The 27,532-nt window shown below is 39.0% G+C and overlaps 1 protein-coding gene across 11 annotated transcripts in view; it reads left to right on the forward strand.

The window, feature by feature from the left end:
* Positions 1-27,532, forward strand: part of GHR (growth hormone receptor) — a 298,440-nt gene that overhangs the window by 192,092 nt on the left and 78,816 nt on the right. For 10 of the 11 annotated variants that reach the window (NM_000163.5, NM_001242400.2, NM_001242399.2 and 7 more), the window contains one exon: positions 13,508-13,573. The exons of the other annotated variant lie outside the window; for it this stretch is intronic. In NM_000163.5, coding sequence (NP_000154.1) covers positions 13,508-13,573 — 66 coding nt within the window. The remainder of the gene's footprint in view (positions 1-13,507; positions 13,574-27,532) is intronic. 11 annotated transcript variants of the gene reach the window in all.

A 27,532-nucleotide genomic window follows, 5' to 3' on the forward strand; every position in this document is an offset into this window, starting at 1 on the left:
ATAATTAGCTCTTCATCACAATATTTTTCATCATCAAGAAATAGATTTAAAGGAGATATTTTCAAACAGTATGGATGTATCATCCCCTTACCTTTATGTATGTGTCTGGTTGTGAATAGTCAGCACATATTATGGTTAAACTCAAGAAACAAGGGAGGTTATTTTCTAAGCCTGCATCATAGCAGTAGAAATTTGGAAAAAAACAAAAAACAAAAAAAAAAAAACATAGAATTAATTGAGTTGTAATCAAAGAAAATTATGTGACTATAAATTGTAATATTTCTAAAATATACCCACATATGCCAATCTATTGTAAGAAAATGTTCGCAGAGGGAAAACAATGGAAATTCCTAGAAGCTTTAGATAGATTCTAATGATTGGAAATAAGTATTACAAATGGTCCACATTTTAATGTGACTTCTAGAATTTTTTAGAAGTCATAGTATCCTTTCACGCTCTTATGCTGCTTGCTTACAACATACACTTGGGTCACGTTTTTCTGTTAGGAAATATCATACTAATGATTTGTGATCATATTTACCACTTGGGGATCTTGGTGGCCATGATAAGGAATTTGGACTTTATTCTGATTACATGGGAAGCCACTAGAGAATTTTAGCCAGTGAGGTAGCATGATCTTACTTATGCCTTAAAAAGGTTAATTGTTTTGGTAGTTAATTGAAGGAAGGCAAAAGTGGAAGTAGGAAGTCTAGTTAGGAAACTATTTGATTGTTCGGGAAAAAGGTGCTGGATGCATGGGCTATAATAATAGCAAAGGAGATGGAGAGAAGTGAATGGATTGAGATGGAACTGAAAGAACTTGTTGATGGTTAAATGAGTTGGAAGGAGTTAGAGAAAGCAAAGTGACAAAGATGACTCAGAAGTGTTTGGCTTAAGTACCTGAGTGGATGGTGAAACAATTTTCAGACATAGAGAAGAATTTAGGAAGAACAGTTTTTTTCAGACATTGCTCGAGAGTTCTGTGTTAGGATTGAGATACCTATTAGATACCAACTGAAGATACTGAAGAGGCTGAGTAGAGTCTGAAGTTCAATGGAGAGGCTCAGACTAAGATAGAAATTTGGAACCATCAATGTGTAGATGATATTTAAAGCCATGAGACTCGATGAGATTCCCTTTGCAGGGGAAAAAAAAAAAAAAGCTAGAATATTGGAGGGAAGAGTTTTGTAACAGGACAATATTTATGGGTCGGGCAGAGGAAAAGAAGCCAGTAAAGGAGACCAAGAAAGAACAGTCGGTGAGCTAGAAGGGACACCAAGTGGCTCAGGCATCCTCAAAGCTAAGCAAAGAGCATATTTTTAAAAGACAGTAATGTACTGGGTCAAATGCCTCTGAGAAGTTAAGTAATATAAGAAATAAGAAGGGACTATTGAATTTGATATGAACAGGTTTAGTGGAATGGAAGGATTAGAAGTAAAACCAAAGTAGATTCAGAAGAGGAGAAATTAGGAAGTAGAGACAGCCATTCAGACAAGGACTTAAAAGATCCAGGAATGGAAAGGAAATTCCTGGGAGCGCAACCCCTAAGAAGCCAAAAATAGAGTATGCTTTCCATGTAGGTTTTTAATTCTTTTTTGGTGGTGTTCTTTAGAAAGAGAAATGTCTGTTGGGATTATTGTTTGAAATGGTGTTGGGGGCCCAACCATTTCTGGCTTCTATAGATCCCCTTTTTGTACATGCTCATTCCCTTAAAAAAAAAAAAGAAGAAGAAGACTAGATTTTCTAATTTAGGGCAAGGGGCTAATAGCAAACCAAACTCATTTGTAATCTAAATGGTCACATATTATTTTGGTTGCTCTTCAGTGGCACTAGCTGCTGCTAGGAAGTTCATTTTACACACACACACACACACACACACACACACACACACACACAGCATTTGCTGCAGATCCTAAACTTGAAGCCCTGGATCTTCCTTACATCATTTACCCAGAAGTATCTTTGTCAACCTTCTTAACTTACATCCACCAGAAAGTAGAACAAGGCAGAAGTTGTGTGGGAGTTCTGTTCCTCCCCATTTCCCCCCTCACCTGCTGGCGTCAGCACAATAAATACTGTGTTCAGAACTTGGCTAACTGCTTCTTTTCCCACATTCGATCAGGGAATACTTAAAGCCATACAGTGTCCTTGTTCTGCCAAAAAGCATATGGGGCAGGTTGCCCCTTCAGGCTGACACAAAGACACACTGTGCAAGACATCTATGGCCAGTGGAGTGGCCGTGTATGGGTTATCAATGAGACTTTTGACTTTTTTCTTTATGTCATATTGTCATCACATTAAATAGAATTCAAACAAGGAAACAAAATTTATATTCTAGACTTTTAAGGCATTGCCTGCCCTATAGCTATGAAACTTTTCTTTTTCATACCTGGTATAATTTTCCACTTTAAACAATGTTGTGTGATTTGATTACCGTTTTGACTCTCATTTAATTGTCCATTTTAAAAATTTTAACTGAAGTTAGATTTAGATTTAAAGTTCAATACCCATAAAGGATACTTCTCAATAGAGCCGAGAACTTCAGAAGGCACAACAAAAAAAGGGCAAAGTTCAAAAAACTAAGCATCAGGTAGCTACTTTTTACTGCCCAGGGACATGTCTAGGTAAACTGTCACCATATCCATCTACATTTGCTTGCTAGTAGAGCTTCCATTTTCTACTGCAAAATAGTTTCTGGAACCACTTCCATGTTGGCCAAAAGAGAGTGTCAACAATTCCTTTCCAAAATTGACCTTTAGAAAGTGAATCTAAAATGTTTGATTCAAGTATGTGAGGGGAGCTGCATCAAAGTTTTCATTTTTACTACATACAAAAGTGACAGATAAATCCGTAAAATGTATGCATTTTTCTGCTAAGACTGCTAATTAATTTAAAAAGAGATTGTTAGAATAAAAGGTCAGAGAGTAAACATATTACAGATATTTATTGAGAGCCTGCTGTGTGCAGAGTTGGAAAAAATAAAATGAGGTTGCTCCTTTCAACAGACTTACAATCTAATTGAGGGAGCGACAGCATAAATGTATGCAAAGCAAATAATGCAAGATACAGCATAAGACATAATTAACTATCAGATGAGTGACATATATAATAAATACCATTAATTCACAGGCAATCGTAATCAGAAGCACTTAACTTACTATGTGCCAGGCATTCTGCTCAGTACTTCACATACATTATTTCATTTTTTTGAAATATTATTTCTACTTTATAGATGGGAATTGGCTCTGATCTTCCCCCTATTCTGGAGAAAGCAAGGATAATGGTGTAAGGTAGACAAAGACCCAAGCAGACATGTTGGTCTGGGGCAAAGGTCCATTTAAGGGAATGGAGAGAAATGAACCCTGGGGCCAGCATTAGTCTGTTTACAACCATATCCCAGTGCCTAGTATAGTGCCTTGCACATAATAAGTGCTCAATAATATGTCTTGAAAAAACAAATGGCCCTCTGGTCTGTGCCTGTAATCCAGATCAAGTACCATGGAATAAAGTTAATTAGTGAATTAAAGCCACATACCACATAGCTTAAGGACCCATCCCCAAGACCTCCCAATTCCCAACTATGACAATAAAGGATTGCAGTGGAAAAGATACATCATAAGGGGAATAGCAATAGCAATTCCAGCTCACTGGGGTCTATTTCATGGAATCTGACATGGTGAACAGTTCATAAGTTTATTTCCAGGCTGCAAGACCCTGCAACATCTGGCCTCTTGCACCTCCACAACCTCAAATCCTTCTATTCTTCTCTCACTCTCTCTACTCCTGCCACACATACCTCCCTTCTACTCCTCAAACCCATTTCAGGGCCTATATTCTTGCTTCATATTGCCTGGAATGTTCTTCCACAAAACATCTGTGTGGCTCATTACCATACCTTCAGATCTATAACAGCCACTCTCCCCACATCTTCCCAGCTGCCTGACATTATAATACACATCTATTTCCTTATGTGTTCATCCCCGTACACACTAGAACATGGGCCCAGGAAGGCAGAATTCCATCTGCTGTTTTTGCCATTGAATGCCCAGCAACTAGGACAGTGCCTGGCACATTGTAAGTACTCACACACAGCAACTCTAACTCAGGATTACTTTTTCTAGCTCTGAAATACCTACTTCCAAGAGAACGAAATTTATTCAAGAAATGTTGGATGGAAATTGAAGAGTGAGCTTGGAAACGAGACACAGAGTGGCAGGAGCCCAGACCAACCTGTTTATGAAAGATGCCTTTGCCCATAGAGGGAAAAATACACCTTAAAACCTCTGCCAAAGTATATGCTTTCTTAGGACACCTCTGACATGCTGAATTGCACCTGGTCTGAACAAGATCTATGAATTTGCCAAAACAACTAATTCCTGTGATTTAAGAGTCACTACTACCAGTATCAGCCTAGTAAACAAGTACCAAGCAACGAGCACCACATATGTCAGTATCCAAAGACAAACATGCTGCTGCATGCAAAACCAGACAAATGCATTCACGCGGGTGACAGTGAGTGGAAGAAATTAATCTTATTTTTATTATTTTTTCCCTTATCAAACACTAGCAAGGGACTAGATGTCATAAATCTAGTTAAAATATGTTGACTTTGCCTCAAATTTGAGCATTCATGGTTCCAAAAGGACACTTGTTATAGGATCTGATGATGTACTTTAGAATCTTCTTTTGTGCAAATTGAGACTTCAGAGAACTCAAAATATATGGTAAATTCAAAGTAATATTATAAGTAAAATCATAATGCCTCACAACATTTTTTGAAAGTTAAATATTTAGTAATTTTACAAATATGTATTGAGCACTCCCTATATTTAAGGAACTATGCTAATGCTGTGATGGATCAAAAGGAGAATAAGCCATGATCCTTACCTTCAGACTTCAAGCTTATTATTCATTGGGCAGTTAGATAACTAACATATCAGACATGGAATAATAAGTGCCATTGTCCAGATATTAAAAACAAAATTGGTGTTGTGGAAGCAAAAAGAATGTAGAGATGGATCCCAACTAGGAGAAAGAAAAATTGCTTCCTAAAGAAGACACAGATTGACCATGAAAGGTGGATGGTTCTACACAGGACTAGAAGGTAGGAATTCTTCATTTGTTGGACTTGCTAATTTTTTTTGGTGTAAATATACCCACTGTTGTTGATTTAAAGTTGATAACGTGATGCAACTGAACACAGAACTGGGAAGAGAAGGTGGCTCCAGCACGCTACCTATGAGTCACCAGCTGAGCTCCAGACTTAATTAAATCAACCTCCTCACTACTATTTTGAATGAGTGAATTCACAAGTCTTAAAAAGATCTATGATAACATTATAAGGGAAGAGATAGTCACTTCTGTCATTCTCCCTTACATCTCCATCTCACCTTCCAATATTCTGTTTGAATATCCTTCCAATTTCAGTCATATGTTCCTGGCTGGCCTACCTAGGATTAATATTGGCCCAGTGCCAAAATGTGATTCTATTTATTCCTTTTAGCATTGCTGTGATTAATCTGCGCTCCTGTTATCCCATGGCATAGCAAACTCTCTTACTGATTATGGCCTGGTATTGACACCTCTGCTGTTCTCCATAACGAAAAGCAGCTTTTGGGGTGGCTAGCTGGGCAGGATGTTTTGCTGCTCTTGTAACAGTAGGAAGGAAAAGCTGGAGGAATTACTGGGAAGCTTTGCAGAAGGAAGATACAGGCCAGCTGAGAGCCAGCATTCATATTGCCTGTTCCTTTCAGTATTCTTTGTGAAAACACCACCACCAATGTGTTCCCTGGACGTCACTACTGCACCTTTAACTGGCCTTATTATGCTAGGGACTGCATTTGAAAAGCCAAACTCTAGTATCTGTCTGTAATTGCAAGCGGATATCTCAGCACATGCACAAGCTTATGTCAGGAGGATGTTTATGAAAAACTCACCAAGCAGAACACTGCTAGACAGGAAATAAATATGTGAAGCTTGAAGTTGTTAGGAAACTTCCACATTTGTCCCTCTAAGCCAGAGATAGGACCTGTGAGAAAAGAAGGTCTTTATCATTGCGCATTGATTCTTGCTGAACCCCTGCTATTCTCAAAATACATTTACAGCAAAATGTGGCTACTGCAGATGTATTTAAACATGTGCTTTTTTAAATGACACTGGTTTATCTTCCAAGTTTGTTATCTACTATTTTACTGTAAAGCATTAAAAAGTGTTTGAAACCACCAGCACCATTTCACAGTTCCTGTTTTATTTGTTTAAATTCTCTAGCTCATGTAATATGCTGTATGATTTACTGTTCAAGTAGAGAAGAAATACACTCCCTCATGGAGATGTGGGGAGGTAATACTGTCTCTTGGAAGGGCTCAGAGATTTCCTGTTTAGATTACACAGGCTTCTTTAGAGCTGCCAAGAGTCATAACATGTACGAGATAATACACTTTGGTTCAGGAAAAACTATGGATAGGAATGTAATTAATTCACTGAGCCACAAAAGATATTCCAGCTTAGAAATGTCACTGCACTCAGGCCTGGTGGACTCAGTATGCCAAGGGGTAGCCATGACCAAAAAGAGGATTGCTGCCTGAGGACCCACTGAGTAGTATCCAACCACAGAGCAAAAGGAGGGGGCCTGGCTGCTAAGGACATCACACGTCTCACCTGCTTCTTTGAGAATTGATCCCTGAAGGGTATTTCTGCCCAAAGCCTCAGCAACCTGGCTTCATCAATATAACTTTGTGATGCTTGTGACATTGAGATCAATCAATCAGCATGTACTTTATCAAGTGCCTCCTCATGAGTACCAATTGTGGCACATAGTGGGGAAACCCTAGAGGCAGAGCCCTGCAGAGGATATGGTGATTCTGACCAGAGCAAGAAGGTATAGTGAAAAGTTTCCTAAATATATTTTGTGTCTTGTCATAAGAATCACCTGGCAGGGAGGGGTATGGAAGGGCAAGGTAAGCATACACATTCCCAGGACCTTTCCAAAATGTAGAGTGACCAGGGACTTAGAGATTCAGACTCTATCAATCTGGGGCAGGGCCCTAGACTTGGTATATTTAATAACTGCTGTGTGAGGCCCTTTACATGCATGACCTCCTGTAATTGTATAGCTTGGTTGCTGTATATGGTACTATGTTTACTTGTGTTTGCACTGTCTATTCAGGGGTGTTTCTAAATGCCATTGCTACACAACTGGTGAATTATGATTCTTGCCAGAACATTGATTCTCCTACTCTTGCTTCCTTAATGACACACTAGAGAACTGGGATTGGCTGCATTTAGTCTCAGGATGAATCATTGCCATAAGTAGATTTCCATCCCCTACTCCACCAACTCATTTGCCAAACACCCTTAAAGAACAGAACCCACTGCCTACATGCAGCCTGCACCAGGAGGGCCTAAATGGTCTAGCTGGGTTTATGACAACATCCCGTCTTCACATCAGCAAAACCCTAAGTGCACAAAGTCTAATGTAAACACAATGTCAAGTTCTCCATAGGAAAAGACATGTCCCTGCTGTCAAGGTAGTGACTAGCAATAATAATAATGACAAAAACAATAACAATGATAAGCATATATAACACTTACTTATCACTAATTATATTGTAAATGAAATGATTTGCATGTACTAACTGATTTAAATCTTATATATATATAGATACTTTTACTCTCTCAATTTTAAACACAGAGAAACCAAGACCTAGATACGTGTTTCTGTTGAGAAGTTGAGTACAAGGTTGAGTGTAAGTAGGGAAAGTTCAACTGCAGTCAGTTCTAGTCTTGGTAAGTACACTGTGAGGCGCTCCACCCCAAGCATAGCAAATTAATGGTTCCCCAGTGTTTGCAGAATCAAAATTAAGTTCTTTGGCTAGGTTCTCCCTGATGTGCCCCTGCTTCTTCCCTAATTCAACACATCCCCAGCTCCATCCATGCATTCCCAACACATCACAGCTCTTTACATGCCCAGGCTGTGTCTTCTGCACCTTTGTACCTTCTGCACCTTTGTTTCCTTGGCCCCAACTGCCCTTTCTTTTCCTCCACATTACCCTTTATCCCAAATTTAGCACCTGTCTCAAGGAGTCACCTTCCCAAGGAAGTTTCTCCAAATTTGTTAACAGATATTCCATTGTTCCTCCAATGCTTGACCACTCTTCCTTTATAGATCCCTGCCTAGAAAAATGTGGGCTCACTGAGGCCAGGGGCTGCAGCTAGTTTATTTTATAACCCAGCATTTAAAAGTGCCTATTTATTGATTTGTTGGGAATAGTTAATAAATGGAGTCCTTGCAGATCATAACCAAGACCACAGTTCGTAATGGTTTCATTAACTTTGTTACTATTGGATGTGATTCTCTGCTTATGGTCTTCCTTTACTTGTTTTTCCCTTACTGCTCAGCACCTCTAGACATTAGGTACATGGCTCTGATGCTAATTAAAATTGATGACTGAGAATGACACTTCCATTTGCTAAGCCAGCGCAGTTTTGTTCATTGTGCTTTACTTTTTAACCAGCACCCTTAGCATAAATCTGTAGTCTTTCCATGAGGGTACCATTTGTTCCTTTTATGTCTCGATTCATTACATATTTTCAGGACTGTTAGCTGACTAAGACTTTTTGCTTTGTGAAAATGTCACCAAATGCACGATAAAGGCAAAGTCACAAGATGTCTGTTTGCAAAAAGAATTAAATGCTGGTTTGTGAAGATTCAAGGCTGGCCAGGGCTCCCCAAGCATTTCCAGGCCAGAGCTTTGGCTCTGCACTCTCCTTAGGATCTCATAACTGACCCCCACATTCCATTTCTGCCATCGTGGAAAAATTTGTCAACTTTACTGCTGATGTTAGGCCTGGAAATTGTCATCCATTAGTTTTCTCAGATTCAAGCTGAAAATTGAGACAAACTTCCTACGTAATTTTGACCAAAATAACACATATGTTTATGTGCTATCCCATGATTAACATATTTTTAAAACCACTTTATTGAGGTATGGTTGGCATACAAAAATCTGTGCATATTTAATGTATACAGCTTCATGAATTTGGAGATAAGTATACATCCATGAAATTATTACTGCATGTATGCCATAAACCTATCACCTACAAAAATTTCCTTTCACTTTGTTATTATTTTGATTAACTTAATTTTTTTCTTCCTTTGAACTATCAAAACTTTCTCAAGTAATACATAGTTGTCAGTTATACAAACTTACTGAACCTTGACCAAAGGTCCTCTTTTAGTGCTCATCTTAGAGAAAGAATTAATGAAACAAAGTGTTCTCTGATTTGTAGCAAAGATCTGTGATGGTGGTGGGAATGGTTCTAGAAAATAATGGTAATAATAAAAACTTAGAGTATCAAAGCAGCAAGTAGATTTGAAGGAATTGTTACAATGCAATTTTGCTTTCCCGCCACTTTAAAATCAAGGTGTAGTACTTTATTTACTTTAGGAAAATGTTTGCTTTTTGTCATAATTCCTTATTGCATATGAGAGTAAATGATCTATAGATGAAGATAATAATAAAATTTAGAGAGAGAATAAAAAAGAAACACTTTCACAGCTGAAAGGCTGCTTCCCAGTTAGCTAACTGGGAGGAGTTACTGAAAAAGTACATTGAAAAGCGGCTCAGGGGCAGGTGAATTGGACTCACCAGGCTCTGACATTCAGAGAGATGGGAATGAGTCAGCTCACTGTCCAGCACATCTTTATTTTATTTCTCTTTCTTGTTTTATATCAGAAATAGATTTCTTGGCATTGTTACTGTGGGTTTCTATTAAGGACTGAAACAAAAGTATTAATAATCTGAGAGTATGTAAAAAAAAAATTCATTTTCTCCTACTATACTCTCATAACACAGAATATTTTGGTGACCAGAGATCACCAAAATGTGTGTGGTGTCAACGAAAAGAGTCAAACTCTCTAAAATATTTGAAGAGATTTTTTCTGAGCCAAATGTGAGTGAACATGGCCTGTGACATAGCCCTCAGGAGGTCCTGAGAACATGTGCCCAAGGTGGTCAGGGTACAGCTTGGTTTTATATATTTTAGGGAGGCATAAGACATCAATCAAATACATTTAAGAAATACGTTGATTTGGTTCAGAAAGGCAGGACAACTCAAATGGGGGGCTTCCAGGCTATAGGTAAATTTAAACATTTTCTGGTTGACAATTAGTTGAGTTTGTCTGAAGACCTGGGATTAATGGAAAGGACTATTCAGGTTAAGATATGTTTCTTATTGGACCTAAAACTGTGCCTGGCTCTTAGTTGATTACTGCCTGGATCTGGGAAGGAAGGAAGGAAAACAAAGGGGGAAGGGGATTCTCTATAGAATGTGGATTTTTCCCATAAGAGACTTTGTAGGGCAATTTCAAGGCATGGCAAGGAAATATACTTTGGGGCTAATATTTTTTCCTTGTCTCATAATGTTATGCCAGAGTCATATTGAAAAGCAAGTCACAATATACAAGGTCAAATAAAACCCATCCTGATGAGAACCCATGGTTTGTAGGGCATGACTCCCCAGAACCCTTAGGTAGGAATTTGGGCAAGATAAAAAATCGGAACTTAGTCCTCGGTGGGAATCTCTCCCCACACAAATTCTCCAACAGATTCTTCAGTGGGACACCAACTGGGTGTTCTCAAATTCAATTCAATTCTGACAATCTACCTATCTACCTGGAAATAGCATCAGATAACCACAGGTTTACGGCTCATTCCAACAATACTGTCCCCCACTTCAGATGCCAACTGCAAGTAATAGGTTGTTACCTATACTTCTAGCCAGTCAGCTGTAAATTGGTGTTCCCACAACCTCCCCCTCCGGTTTGATAATTTGAGACAGCTTGCTTACATGTACCAGCTTATTAGAAAGGATATTACAAAGGACACAGATGAAGAGATGGATAGGGTAAGGTATGTGGGTTGGAGTTGCAGAGTTTCCATGACCTCTCTGAGTGCAGCATCTTCATGTGTTCAGCTATCCAGAATCTCTCGGATTAAGACATTGGCCACTGGTGATCAAATTAACCTTGAGTCCCTCTCCCCTTCCTGAGGTTGGAGAGTGGGGCTGAAGTGTCTCAACCTCTAATCAACTCTTGGTCTTTCCTGTGACCATGCCCCATCCTGAGGCTCTCCAGGAGCCCCCAGGCATCAGTCAACTCATTAGCATACGAAAGACACTTATCACTACAGAGATTCGAAGGATTTTAGGAACTGTGTCAAGAAACGGAGACAAGGTCAAATATGTATTTCACAATATCACCAGTAGTTTCACTGGGAGGTAAAACTCAGTGTTTACTGTGGGCCTGAGCCATGCTGACCCTCTAAGAATAACTTAGAGGTAACGTGATCAGATGTGGGGAATTCTGGAGAAACACCTTTCACCACCAAGCCCAGACAAGAGATGCATACTTTTCTAGCTGGGATGCTTACAAAGCAACCCACTCTAATACTTCAAGGTAGAGTGACACTACATTCATCATTTTTCATTTTTTCCTGTTTTTTATGCCATCTACTACTAATGTCAATCAAATTACGACTGTGTTTATAGTGGATGAATTATGGACCATCTCACACCATAAAGTTCTGTTTCTCTCATGTTGAGCTTTTCACCTCCCTTCATTCCCTCCCTACTTCCAGGATCATTCACATGTTTATTTCTAAAAATAAACTTTTTTTACTGAACTTTTTTTCATACTGTTTAAAAAGAATTTATATTTCTCTTCATTCTTACAGATAAGATTCAAGTTTAAACTCAAATAATGTAGGAAATCTTTTTTTAAAAAATTGTTCCCTACTGTGTCTAGGCGTGAGACCAAAAGTAATTAAGACCAGGTTTTCATTTGCTGTGATTTGTGTGAGTTCTTTTTAGAGGTTAGGTGCAATTTTAATTTTTAAAAGGGGGATTATTATGAGAGGAGAAATCATACTTTATCATTTGAAAATGATGCCATAACAGGTGTTAGCAGAAAAATCAAACTGTAAAATATTTTAAAGAGATTTATTCTGAGCCAATATAAGTGACTGTGGCCCCATTGAAATGAGCGAGTTCCCTGATCCCTCTCACAGAGCTTGCGACAGGGATGTGGCTCACCTGTTCAGTTGCCCCACTGCTCAAACCCCTAGGGGGAGAATACAGACGGTCAGGTGCAAAGGCTGGGGCAAGTGCCTTGGCCCCTTGGCCCCTTAGCCCCGAGGTAGTGTCTAGGGGTGGGGTGCCTGCAACCCCAGTGTTACAAAGTTCTTTCAGCTTTGCAGTCCACGGACAGCTTGAGTGTTAATCAGCTCAATGGACCCTCTGCCTTATAGCAAAGGCAGAGGGCCAGTGTGACAGCTTTCTGTATCCCAAGCTCTTGCCCAGTGTCCTAGAAAAAACAGATCATACAGGGGCTCGAAGGATGAGTGCAAGGTTTTATTGAGTAGTGGAGGTGGCTCTCAGCAAGATGGATGGGGAGTGGGAAGTGGGGATGGAGTGGGAAGGTGAACTTCCTCTGAAGTCGGGCAGCCCAGTGGCTGGACTCTTCTCCAACCTCCCCCAGGCAAGCTCCTCTCAGCGTCCAGATGTTCCTCTTCCCTCTCTCTCTCTGCCGCATCATTTCACCATCTGTCTGCTGGTCAGCTGGCTTGCTGGTGTGCTGGTCTGTTGGTCTGCTGGTCTGCTTCTGGAACCTCAGGTTCAGAGTTTATATGAGTGCACGATAGGGGGTGTTTTGGGCCAAAAGGTAGCTTTTTGGACATGAAAACGGAAATGCCTGTTCCCATTTAGGGCTGCAGGTCTTCAGGCTTGAGGGTGGGGCCTTTGCCCAGGAACTACCCTCTTCTACCCAGTGTTTCCCTGTCTCCTGTCCATATCACCAGTATTCACAGTCTCAAGGAGTCTTGAGAAAGTGTGCCCAAGGCCGTCAGATTCAGTTTGGTTCTGTATGTTTCAGGGAGGCAGGAATTACAGGCAAAGACATAAATCAGTACATGGAAGGTATACATTGGTTCACTCTGAAAAGGCAGGATGTCTTGAAGTGGGGACTTGCAGGTCATAGTTTGGTTCAGAGATTCTTTAATCTGCAGTTGGTTAAAGGAACAAAACTGTACAGAAGCTTCGAGTTAGCAAAAAGAAATATTTAAATTAAGATAAGGATGCTATGTCAGAGTCAGCCACAAAATGACCTGTTTAGCAAGATTAATGGCCTATAGGTGTGACTTAACCCTTGCCTTGCATGGCCTAAGGTCTTGTTTATAATTTAGTATCTTATTGCCCAAAGAGTCTATTTAGTCAGTCTTATGATCTCTACTTTAACATTAATGCTGGTCACTTGTGCCTAAACTCCAAAGGGGAGGTATATCCAACCTGCCTTCCCATTGTGGCCAGGAACCTTTCTCTGGAGTCCCCTTGGCCAAGAAGGGGTCCATTCGGTTGGTTTGGGAAGCTGAGGATTTTGTTTTTAGTTTACACAGGGTCATATCAGATTGTTTTGATGGGGATGACTAATGGTTTTCTTCTCTTTCTGTTTCAGCCACAGCAGCTATCCTTAGCAGAGCACCCTGGAGTCTGCAAAGTGTTAATCCAGGCCTAAAGACAAGTAAGAATTTCAGTCCTTTTTCTTCCTTCAATGATATTTTCCATGTTTTAGTGTAATTAAGCTACTATCCTTTCTCTATTTTATTTGGGATGGTAGTAACTGGAATAGTGACTGAGTTGAAATTTTATAGGCAAGCAAAACATTTTTTAAGGATTTATTTTTTAACTTCTGATATAGTTTGGATGTTTGTCCCTTCCAAATCTCATGTAATCCCCAATGTTGGAAGTGGAGACTGGGAGGAGATGTTTGGGTCATGTGGGCAGATTCCTCATGAATGGTTTAGCACCCTCCTCTTTGTGCTGTCCTCACCATGAGTGAGTTCTCATGAGATCTGGTTGTTTAAAAGTGTGTGGCACCTCCCCCTTCAATCTCTTGCTCCCACTCTCGCCCTGTGAGACACCTGCTCCGCTTCACCATGATTATAGGCTTCCTGAGGCTTTCACCAGAAGCAGATGCTAATACAGCCTGCAGAACTGTGAGCCATTTAAATCATTTTTCTTTATAAATTACCCAGCCTCAGGTACTTTTTTATAGCAATGAAAACAAACTAATACAACTTCTGTGCAAGGCTGCTTTTTTTTCTATTTTTTGCTTGTGCTTGGAGGTTAAGTAAGGCCAAATTAATGAAGGAGGAAAAAAGAGGAAATGATACATCATGGATCAACAATTATTTATTGAATTTAGGAAACTGCCTCTTTTTATAAATTCTTTTTAAAATTATTTTCATTATTATCTTGAAGTATTTATCTAAGGTTTACACTGGTAGAAAGTTAAACTTGTCTCTCCAACCAAATTGCCTTAAGCTTCAAAATTATGCCTTATTGTAAGCTCTTTCTTAACCTTAAAATGACTTTACACATTCCCCGCTGGTCCTTTGACAATCTCCTCTTCAACCACAAGACAGAACCCCACCATCAACTCTGTGGGGAAGCGTCTCCAAATTCTCTAGTCCTGAACAACATTCTGCCTTCTCTGCTTCCATGGAACTTTGTCCTTTACAACATGATAGCGTTTGCCTCCTGACATTTTAGTGTGTGTGTTAGCCCTGCATATAGAACTCACCAGATTGTGTGGACTGCATGAATGAATTAATTCTATTGAACTTTAAGGCAAAGCCTAAACTTTATGCTTCTTCTAAATCCCTTACATCTCCTAAAAAAATTCTGATCCATAGTAGTAGGTACTTGTTTAATTAAATTTTAGGGATGGATATTTTTCATCAGTGGAAGTATATGCTAGAGTCCATATTATGCAATAAGGGAAGGGAAGACAGTGTACCTAAATCAGTTAAGATATTGCTATTCTTGTTGTTATTCTAGAGTCACGAAATCATAATTTGAATTTTATGACTAAATTGCAGAATTAATTTCCAATGTGAGATTTTAACATTATTTCCTTGGAGGTGACCAAAAAGGAGAGCTGGTACTGTTTTTAACAACTGTCATTCAATTGTCAGTTGTGCCAGACCACAAATCCTTTATAGCCCTCCTGTTTAAGAAGCATCTGACATGTTAAGCTGCTCCCTAATTAACACAGAGGTTGTAAAAGAAGTGGCTGTTTGGTTCTGTTTGGGTTTCCCAGCCAGTATATTCCAAAGCCTTTTTTCACTCAACAGATGAGTTATGTGCTTTATATTCTGTAAGGAAATGAGAAGTAATCAGTTGAAAATGTGTTACTAATGGTACATGCTTCACATTGAAACCATCCTCCTGACACAAACATAATACTTTGCCCTCCACTGTCCCCCAAAGTGGCAGTAGGATTTCTCTAAGTAATTTTCTTTACTTATATGAGTGCAGGATAGGGGGTGTTTTGGGCCAAAAGGTAGCTTTTTGGACATGAAAACGGAAATGCCTGTTCCCATTTAGGGCTGCAGGTCTTCAGGCTTGAGGGTGGGGCCTTTGCCCAGGAACTACCCTCTTCTACCCAGTGTTTCCCTGTCTCCTGTCCATATCACCAGTATTCACAGTCTCAAGGAGTCTTGAGAAAGTGTGCCCAAGGCCGTCAGATTCAGTTTGGTTCTGTATGTCACAGGGTCTAAGAAGCGTAAACATTGTGTCTTGTTGAAATACAGCCTCTAGGTATGGAGGATGTGTTGAACAACTTCCTACCAGTCATTTGGCATATGTTGATTTCCTGTCTTCATGATACGTAAGACGACTAGCTAATTATCATTCATATGTGGTAAGTCACATAGATACTGACTTCCCCTATCTTTCCAGCTTTTTCTTATCAAAAGTCACCTGCTCTCTGTCCCAGGAACGACTGGCTAAAGTAACCTATATCAGTGTCTGTAACAGTGGGCACCTATCATAGTGCACATGCTTGAACATATCATTGCCTTTTATCATCACGAGCCTCACATCCAGATGTGACAGACTCAAGTGCTCACATCACCTCACTCTGTCACTGTATACATTGTTACCGTGTCACAAATATTTAACAGTCTGCTGTGTACTCAGTCTTTAGCTGTGTGCCCTGAGGGAGACAGAGTAAGATACTGCCTTGACATCAAGGAGCTCACATTCTCCCTAAAGAGATAATTTCACATGAAAAGTTAGTGTTTAATATGAAAAGTTAGTGTTTAACATGAAATGTCCTGAGAATATACAATTATAATTTACACGTTTCCTGTGTGTACTTTTCTAAGTTCTCAGACTCAAAACAAAGCCCCATGGAAGAAAAAATGAAATAAAAACCCTGTCAGGACAAATCCTAGCCAGAACTGACCAAACATAAAAAATAAATGCCACTGCCCTCTCCAAGCTACCTTTACTTTATACTTGGGTCCAAGAAGCCCAAACATTGTGCCTCATTGAAATATAACCTCTAGGTATGGAGGATGTGTTGAACAACTTCCTACCAGTCAGTGCAGTGCAGTGACCATTTAGCAGCATCTCCCTCCTCTCTCCTTCCACCCCCTGCCCCATCTCTCCTTCCTTGCATCTATCTTCCCCTGCCAACAATAATTTTCTTATGTTCTAAGTAAATATCTTTAGTGCTCTCCCTACTACCTAAACATTAAACTTCAAACCTTTCCCAAGACCCTGAACACCCACCCCAGCTTGTAAGTTCAGGCTACTTACCATTCCCCAGGCACACTGTATTTTCCCTCCTCTGGTACACTGCTCATGTCATCGAATCTATCTTCCTCCCACCCCATCCTGGATTCTGTAAATATAAATCAGTCCTGCCCACCTTTAAGTTTCAGTCAAAACCTGATACTCATGGCCTGAAGCAATCCCTCCCTTCTCCATGCTGGTCTGAGAGAGGTCATGATATTTCAGTAGCTCTGGAGAGACACATATGGTCAAACCAGACCAGCTAAAATTAACCCATGCTATGCACAACCTAAAGAATCACCTCTTGCTGTAACCTCTTTCTTCTCTTGCTCACCAAAAACTGTCTGTCACATTTGCTAAGTAAGCCCTTAGGGCTTTGCTGTGCTGGCAAAAGGTCTTAATCCATGTGAATGTGCATTTTTGTGTTAGTGAGCACATGCTAACATGCCTTCCACAGATTAGTTTCTTAAGAAACATTTTCTGGGGGAAAAAAGACCTGTTTTTGGTTAGTAACCCCAAAAGGACCTTTCAGTTCACATACGTGGTAGCAGCATACTCCACTTATGCAAAGGTCAGCCCAGGGTAAATATGGGCAAAAACACAGACTTAGGATAAGAAGAATGTTAAGGGAGTTTACAGTTTAAAGAGATATCCAAACAACTTTTTTATATTTTAAAGAAGTAATGCTATAATTTTACTACAAAGAAAACTTCTTTATATTTCTGGGGAGAAGAATAGGAAGAGTTACAATCTCCTAGAGAAAAGCAAAACATTTTTAGTATTCCCAAATAAGACAGGCACCTCAACTAGGGTGCTGTGGTTGCACGTTCTTTGTAGTTTTTCAAGAATTTTATTTCTCTGTCATGATTATTTATTGGCAGAAGATTTGTTGGGCCAAACATGTAAGACTTTCTTAAACACATATAGAGAAAAAAATTAGATGATTGCACATCTTTCTGAGGGAGATTTTTCCCCTATTTTTAAAAGTCATTGCTTTTCACTGAATTTGTCTTGTATTCCTATAAAAGTGTAAATTTTGTGATTGATAGCATTTTTACCTCAAAATGAAATGAATATCCAACTGGAGCAAGTTTTATTGACTGCTTATTGGAGCATAAATTAGTCTAAGTTTTCATGAAAATAGGCATTTGAACATGAGTATTAATGGCTGAGATCAGAGGCAAGTTTTGAAAGGATTCCAAAATATTATCATATTAGATAGGCAAGCAAATGAATTGCTTGAATGCTAGAAGTTCACAAACATTCAAACAATTGTGAGTTACATTAACTTCAATAAAAACTTTTGCAGGACAAAAATTTAATATAGTAAACTTCATCTTGCTTGTCCAGGTCCGTATACATTCTTAGCTGGACTCTTGTCCTAGCTTCCTAATTTTTCTTCCTATCTCCTATTTTTCCCTATTCCAAGCCACCATACTCTGTTCTTGATTAATTCTTCCTGCCTACCTCTGATTCAGTGATTCATCTGCCCAATCATCTATAGTAGCTCCAAACTCTTTTCTAAATTATGAATAAACTTATCTCCCTGGCATTCAGAAAATTCAACAGCATTCATCTTACACACTTTTCTAGCCTTATCTCCCTTTTCTCTTATGTACTCCTATGTTTATATTCCCTGCAGTCTTGCTTCATTATATCCATTTACAATGACCCTTTTACCAGTAATTTCCTCTTCTTTCCTCTCAGTCTGAAACAATCCTTCATAGATTTTGTCCTGTGAGCCATATTTCAAATACAACTTTATCCACAAAGCTTTGCCCAGTTCCCACAAGAGGATTCTGCTTTTGCTTTAGAATTGTAGCCTTTTTTTCCTCTCTCGCAAGGAGAGAGAGCGTAGCACCGCAGTTTAAGTACTCAGCCTCTGGAGTAAGCTTTAGTTTAAGACCCAGTTCTACTGCTTACTTCCTGTATGATCTTCTCTAAATTTTATGATCTCTTTGTCTTTTTTTTTTCATCTCTAAAATAAAGATGCTAATAGTACCTACCTCATAAGATGGTTGTGAGAATTATAAGTGTTGATATATTTAAAGTAGTTAGAATAGTATCTGGCCCTACAGTAAGCTTACGTGGTATTTATTGTATTCTCTTATGGCTCTTATTTTATTCCAATGTGTATTAAATTGAACCGTATGAAATTGCCCATGTCAACTCTATATTGGACCCTAAAATCATTATGTCTTTTGGTTCAACCAAATGTAGTGCTTTTTGCACCCCCCCTTAATAAATTGAACTATCTCTAAAGATAGGGACAATATCTTACACATCATTATATCCTACAGTACCTGCTACATACTTGACATATGCTGAGTATTTCACGGATGGTTATTGAATTTTGCACACACACACACACACACACACTGCAAAAAATAAACAGAAGCCAAGCCCTCCCCAGTATCTTAAGTACTCTTTGGCTACCAGGGAGTTTACTCCATGCTGTTCAGCAGTCATTTATGAAAGGAGAGTGATAAAGATATAGAGGAGGAGAATTTTATCTTGTCTATTGCTGAGTATAAATACTATGCCTTTCCGAAAAGCCTTCCACAGAACCTTTCCTTCAGGTCAGGGACCTAGTGTCATGGGTCGGTCTTGGATAACGTTGCAGGACATATCAGTTCAACTGCCAAGGGAATCATAAATAGTCCTACTCCTGCCTGCGGCCCACCACTGCCTCTCTGCTTTCATTCTTTTTTATCAGATATTTTCAACATCAAGAACTTATTAGCTGATAATTTAACTAAATTAAGTATAACATAAGGGAAATGTGTCCTGGCAGAGATGGCATCTTAGAGTGAATGCACAGTCTTTATTGGTTACCAAAAACAAAAAAAAAAAAACTTGAGCTTTGGACAAGCAGTAGAGAGCAGATTTGATACTGGGTTCTGACATGGAAGCTGACATTAAATTATTGACAGTCTACTTGTTTATAAACTATTCAATAAACAATTTAGTAAGTAAACATAGATTCTTGCAATCCCTTTTAAGGAAACAGTGTTTATGTTGGCTCTCTCTTGTACCCAACCTAGTGCTCAGCCTTTCCTGACTCACATAAGCACTAATCTCCAGATAACACCAAGCACCCTAGGGTTATTATTTATCCCCCTTCCTTGTTCTCTGAAATAAGAGAAAGGCAGGTTAAATTATGCACTTTATGTAAGAAGAAATGGAGGTACAGAGAAAACAGCTTAAGTCTCTTAACAGCCCAAGAGAGTGAAGAAGATATTGCCAATGCAATGAGTTGTATCTGTCCCTAGGTAAGTAAAATATTAATTAAAGCATACAACTATATTAATAATTAAAACAACAGTCTTTACTTATATGGACTTTGCAGTGACTTTTTTCCAGCCTGAAATACTCAGATAATGACTGCCATTAGTTTCACACGTTAGTGCTTTATTATATACTGCTTTGTTTTCACACAAAATCGTTGAGAGGTAAGAATTTTTTGAAAGAAATATTTGGTCTTAACTTTTTTATCCCCCTTCAACTTCAAGCAATTTTCTGAGCAATGATAAGTGGTAAGTAGATATTTACCACTTAGTTTACAAGAGACCTGTTTCTCTCTGTGCATTGACTTAGGCACTATTAATGAAACCTTTGGAATGCAGGTCCCTTCTGGTTGTAAACATATACTGAGGTCTTCTATTTCTTTTGGAACTCAAACAATAAGAAAATAGTTAGAAATCTGTTTGTGGGCATAGGTCTCTAAAAGCCTTAATCTTAGAAGTGAGTAAAAAAAATTTTAGGCCAGACGCGGTGGCTCATGCCTGTAATCCCAGCACTTTGGGAGGCCGAGGTGGGCGGATCACGAGGTCAGGAGATGGAGACCATCATGGCTAACACAGTGAAATCCCGTCTCTACTAAAAATACAAAAAATTAGCCGGGCGTGGTGGCGGGCGCCTGTAGTCCCAGCTACTTGGGAGGCTGAGGCAGGAGAATGGCGTGAACCCGGGAGGCGGAGCTTGCAGTGAGCCGAGATCTCACCACTGGACTCCAGCCTGGGCGACAGAGCGAGACCCCGTTTCAAAAAAAAAAAAAAAAAAAAAAAATTAGAGCCTAAGAAGGATGATTAAGCATCTTACTTAAATTTTCAGTATGCCTATGTACACTCTATATACTGACTTCTAGCATGGTTTCTTTGCCAAAGCATAACACACATTTTTTAAAGGGATAATTCAAGACAAACATTCTTTCACCCTGGGTGACCCCAATGGGTGGTGAACACTTTTTAGTAACTCTTGAAAGTTAAAGCATCCAACAGTTGGTTGTGACCTTTTTGGTTGTGACCTTTGAGTTCTTCTAGCTTGTAGCCCACTGATTTGCTGCTTAATTCCACAGCTTCAAAACCAACTCTAATCACTGCTCCCGAGAGAGCCCTAGCTTCTGCACACATGAGTCTCTCACCAGGAAAGGATACCTGAAGTCCAGAAAAGCCCTTTGTTCACACTGGCTCCTCCTAGTGGGGAACAGTTTTTTTAAATAATGTACATTTATGCACTGGGAAAATATCTTGAATTTATTATTTAGGTGTAACCAGACTTTAATACAACTTAACCTACACACTGAGAAAGCAGACATTTACAAAAAGATTTATGGCTTTGACAAAGCGTTCAAATGTAGTTACCATTAAATAGTAGTTCAAGTAATTGTGTGTCTCATGGCAAATACATGCAATATAAGGTAATATATATTTAAGCCAAAAATAACAAGAGGTGATCATTTGCTAAACAAAGAACTTATTACTTAGGAAAAAATGTTACACAACTTTCAAAGGACTTTTGAAAATATAGTATGATTTATAGGAAATTTATTTGCATATAATTCACAATATCTGGTACAAGGTAAGCTACCTCTGTGTTTTTTTTCTTTAGGTCAACAAATATTTAAACCAAGGGTTGGCAAACAGGCCCTCAGACCAGATGCTTGTTTTTGTAAATAAAGTTTTATTGGACCACACCCATGCCTGTTTGTTTCAGATTGTGTTTACTTTAGGGCTACAGTGGCAGAGTGGAGTAGCTAAGACACAGAGCATAGGTCCACAAACCTAAAATATTTACTCTCTGGCCCTCTAAAAAAAAGTATGCCAAACCATTCTAAACAGCAAAGCAATTAATTCTTTTTTTTCAACTCTTATTTTAGATTTAGGGGGTACACGTGCAGGTTTGTTACATGGGTCAATTGCATGTCTCTGAGGTTTGGTGTACAAATAATCCCCTTACCCAGGTATTGAGCATATTACTTGATGTTTTTCAACTCACACCCCGCTCCCAATCTTCACCACTCTAGTAGTCCCCTGTGTCTACTGTTGCCATCTTTATACCCATGTTTATCCAGTGTTTAGCTCCTGCTTATAAGTAAGAACATATGGTATTTCGTTTTCTGTTCCTGCGTTAATTCACTTATGATGATGACTTCCACATACATCCATGTTGCTGCAAAGGACATGATTTTGTTCTTTTTTATGGCTGCATAGCTTTTCATGGTATACGTGTACCACATTTTCTTTATCCAGTCCACCATCAATGCGCATCTAGGTTGATTTTATGTTTTTGCTGTTATGAATAGTCCTGTGATGAATATATGAGTGCGTGTGTCCTTTTTGTAGAATGATTTATTTTTCTTTGGGTATCTACCCAGTTATGGGATTGCTAGGTTGAATGGTAGTTCTGTTTTAATTTCCTTGAGAAATCTCCACACTGTTTTCCACAGTGGCTGAACTAATTTACATTCCCACCAGCAGCTATAATATGGTTGTTTGTTTGTTTGTTTGTTTGAGACGGAGTCTCGCTTTGTCGCCTGGGCTGGAGTGCAGTGGTGCGATTTCGGCTCACTGCACTCTCCGCCTCCCAGGTTCAAGCAATTTGCCTGCCTCAGCCTCCTGAGTAGCTGGGATTACAGTCGTGCACCACCACGCCCGGCAAATTTTTTTTATTTTTAGTAGAGACGGGATTTCACCGTGTTGGTCAGGCTGGTCTCGAACTCCTGACCTCGTGATCTGCCCCCCTCAGCATCCCAAATACTATACTGCCCCCTCAGTATAATATAGTATTTTAAGGAACTAATCATCAAGTTTGTACTGGTTACCCTCTTTTAGTCTCCTGTTATCTTCAATTTCATAATTGGCATTAATGACAATACAGTGTTCACTTTATAAATTTGCTTCATAGTAAACTCTTCTGAAATAAATTACAGTCATGCATCACTTAACAGTGGGGATAGGTTCTAAGAAATGCATAATTAGGTAATTTCATCATTGTGTAAACATGAAGTGTACTCACACAAACCTGGATGGTACAGTCTGCTGCACACCAGCCTTTATGATATAGTCTATTGTTCCTAGGCTACAAATCTATACAGCATGTTACTGTACTGAATATTCTCAGCAATTGTAACACAATGGTAAGTATTTATGTATCTAAACATAGAAAATGTACAGTAAACATATAGTATTGTAATCGTATGGGACGACTATCATATATGCAGTCTGTCGTTGACCAAAACATCATTATACAGCACAAGACTATAGTTGAAAATTTTAAATTACATATGTGGGTTGCACTGTATTTCTGTTTGCAGCATTGATATATACATTTAATGGTTTGTATGTTTGTGCTTGCATTCATAAATATTAAACTGTTACAGGGAGCATATTTTCTTGTGTAAAAAAATAAATAATTTTTATTTCTAATGACATATAAAATTATTATGGTTATGTTTAAAGAGGCTTGAAGAGGTATTATGGTTATGTTTGAAGAGGCAACGGAAACGTCACCTTTGTCATTGACCAAAACATCATTGTGTGGCTCACGACTGTAATAGTGTAAAGTAAGGATTCAATGTATCGGCTAATCAATGTGGACATATCATTCAGTATTATTAAAGATACTCCATCCAATGAAGACTGAACACCTGTAAATGCTTGGTGATGGATGGAAAGGGCAATTATTTGCAGCTGGACTGTCTGAGACGTGTCATCATTATTGCATAATATTTATTTAATGAAGGATCAATGCACCATACAGCTCCAGTTTGAGAACACACTTGACATTGTAGTTTGTAGATCTTTTATAAACTAACTGCTATCACTGAATTTTTGCTGAAGAATAAAGACAAAAGATTCTCTCTTTAGGAAATTGTGCACTTTAAAGACTCATAAACCTGAAACCTCACAGAATCATAATAGATGTATTTTCAGAGACAATTTCTGAGTCCTTGACATATTCTCAAATGTCATTCATGTCTTCACTGCCGCAGGTTATCTTTTTATTTTTATCTGTCATGGAAAAGCAGCCTTTTTTCTTTTTTTATCTCCTACTATGCCTTAATAAATAGAATTTAAAACCCCGAATTTGAATTATTGTGAAAGCCAATATTTGTAGCAAATCCATCTATGCTCTGTGTTGTCAGCACATATGGTTTTGTGTACCTGCTACCATGAAACTCTGCCAGGGTTATCCTCAGAGAAATGGAGAGACACCTGATGCCATCCTTACTCTGACAGAAGTTTTTCTTTCTGTGAATTCCAAAAACTTTTGAAGTTATGCATCTCTTGCATTGAACTTCAGTGGCTTGTGTACACATGGTATCTTCCTTTCTAGATTGTAAGTTCTTTGAGGGCAGGGACTGAACCTTTCTCATCTTTATATGCTCTGCTCCTCCACCCTTGGTTTAGCCAGGGCCTTACAAAAAGTAGAAGCTTAAATAATGTTTATTAGGTGAATATCATACTAAGTTCCAGAAATTACCTGAGAGCAATTGAAGAAGGGAAGTGTGGAGGGAGAGGTGTTAGCATAGATTTCATAGTGTTTGAGTTTGGCAGTTTGGCATCCTTTTCCTCAACACTAATACTGACACAGATAAGTAACCTAACTGCCTTCTCAAATCTGAGAGCAGTAGATGCATTTTCTCTTTTGGGACTTTTCTATCTCATGTGGGAAAAGCAAACAAGAAGGTCCTGCAAAAGTCTTGTGGGTATTTATTCTTATCAGTGGTTGTGGCAAACTCTCTTACTGGTTTCAATTGGTCCCACAGGCTATGTGATGAGGACTTTGGGGTTTGGGGAGCTGGGAACCATGAGTTGTCTCTTAAGTATGACCTAACATACTGCTAATACCCCACAAGCTTCAATTTATCCATCTCGAAATGGAGATACTAACATCTATCTCAAAGGGTCATTGTGAGGAGCGAGTAGGAACATAGAAAAGTTCCTAGCACAAAGTAGATATGGAAGATATGGAATAAGGTGTTAGGTATTTTATTATTTTTACTGCTGCTGCTGCTGTTACTACTACTGCTATTATTATTACTACTCCTGGAAGAGTAGGACTTGCCTGGGACACTGACCCTACTTACCCCTTCACCTCATTCACCAAAACTTATCTCCTATATAAATTCATGTATATTTTTCTGGAAGGATAAGAAAAATCCTTCATCTAGGTAGCGTATTTTGTATTTGAATAGTTTATGTTTCAAATCCCAGAGAAGGCCTATACAGCCAAATTTGGAAAAAAAATAAATTTAAAAATAAATATTCAGTGTTTCATATATAATAAAATACCTAACATCTTATTCCATATCATATATGTGTGTGTGTGTGTGTATCTTTTAATTGCCATGTATTTCTACCAAAAAATACAAAACTTAATTTTGCGTCCTGAAAGACCCTCGTTTGAGAATCCCTGCTTTTATGTTCTGCTTTAGTCCAGGCAACAGATAGCTTAGGTTGTCACTTTACAACTGGAGCAGCAGGTAGGGCTGAGAGGCTCGCCATACTCCAAATTACCAGTGCCAGTCCCATGGCACCAAGACAGGAAAGGCAGGCACTCAAACAGAAAGGTAGTGCAATTAATTGCTTCAAATTCTTTACTCAGGGCTGCCCTTAGTCATGATCAAATAAAATGTACACATTGTTTGGCACTTGGTAAAATGTTGTTTCCTTTCCTTCCTCCTTCCCCTGATAGACTCTCCTTAGGTACAAAAAAGATGAGGCTGTACACAGAGCTAAAAGTGTACACCTTTGAAAAAGGTGTCTTTTTCAAAGAGCACCTTCACCCCTTACTGGACTAAACTCAATCCAAAGCTCTTTTCTCTAAGCTTTATAACACTTACTGCCTGGATGAGTCATTTGTCAATAAATACAGAATGTTTGTATAGGTGGGGTTCTTGTATATATGTACGAGCCCCTAGAGTCTCTAACTTAAAATTTATTTTTGCTTTAGAAGTTCAGGAATAAGGAGGCTTTGATGATCAATTTTAACAACCGCAATATATAATACAGTAACTAATGGTTAGGTGTCCAGGCTAGCCCAGGGCAGCCTGTGTGATTCATGCTGCTGGTGAACCATGGCTGGCTGGGCGAACTAGATCTGGAATTCTGTGGTGCCTAAGGGAGGGAAGGGAATATTTCCCACACTATCTCATCCTGCCCTCACTATCGCTACCCCCAATCTCTCTCTACATTCTACCCCACCTACTTTGCTTTTTCTGTGAAAGACCAGCTGGGGCAAATATTTTGGATTAAGTAAAATTTGTCTTGGGTAACTTCCCTAAAATTTAGTTTTTAATTGAATAATCTTGGTTAATCCATGAGTAAATAAGCTTGTAGAGTATAGTCAGCCTCACTGTGAGAAGCTGACAAACCAGAAAACCAGAGGAATATACACCAATTCCTTCCTGTCCTGCAAACCTCTGCTTCTTGAGGTTTTTAAAGAGTGGGTGCCTAATTGATTAGTCATTAGTTATTGACAGGACCAAAGAGATATGCCTGGCTCCTCTTGGAAAAACCAAAAGACTGAGAGGGAAAAGTACACCAAAAAGATACCTAAGGAGGCAGACTGCTATAAAGAAAATAATTAGGAGAAGAAATCATATGTTTTCAGATGAAAAGAATCTGAGGATGAAAAAAGCAGCCTTTTCAGGCCGATGATGGAAAGATAGAAACTAAATTCAGAAGGATCAGAAGACGATTAGAAGGGCAAGAAGTCATAGAAGACCAAGATTTCCCAAATTACCAAAAGAAATCAAGCCCAGTCTTGTTCAGGCTGCAGAATGAGAACGCCCTTCTAGTAAGATCCGTACAATGAATTTCACAAATGTTGATTTCTTTCTGTCCTCTTTGAGCCCATAATCACCTCCTTCTACTTGCACAACCTTGACCATCACCACTACCTATAACTAATAACCAGTTCTTATGTTCCCCTCAAGGCATAACACAAAAATATTTTCTTTATGATTACTTTCTCTACAAAAAAGAGGGAGAGAGAGAGAAACAAGTCAGGGGACTTCGTTGGTGAGTGTAGACCACAGCAAGAACCTAAAATCCTAGTGGGTTGTTAGTATAGACAGGCTGAAACCACTATCCTGAAGTGGTGGTTCTAGGTAGGTATGCCCATCAGAATCATCTGTGGATAAGTATTTTCAGTAAATACACATGCAGGACCTCTACCTCAAATGTACTGAATTGAACTTCATTGCTGGAGCTTAGGCATTTCATATTTGTTTCCTAAGCTGCTATAACAAATTACCACAAACTTGGTGGCTTAATAAGAGAAATGTATTCTGTCACAGTTCTGGAGGCCAGAAGTCCAAAGTCAAGGTATGACCAGGATTGGTTCCTTCTGGAGGCTCTGAGGAAATTCTGTTCCATGCCTCTCTCCTAGATTTTGGTGACTGCCAGCAATCTTTGGTGTTCTTTGATTTGCAGAAACATCATTCCAATCTCTGGTTCTGTCTTCACTTGACCTTCCCTATGTCTGCGATTGGTCTCCTTTCTGTCTCTTTTAAGGACACCTATCACTGAATGTAGAGCCTATCCTAATGCACAAGGAGCTCAATTATACCTTAATTATATCTGTAAAGACCCTTTTTCCAACTAAAGTC

The sequence above is a fragment of the Homo sapiens genome, chromosome 5 (genome assembly GCF_000001405.40).
Source record: "Homo sapiens chromosome 5, GRCh38.p14 Primary Assembly".
NCBI lineage: Eukaryota > Metazoa > Chordata > Mammalia > Primates > Hominidae > Homo > Homo sapiens.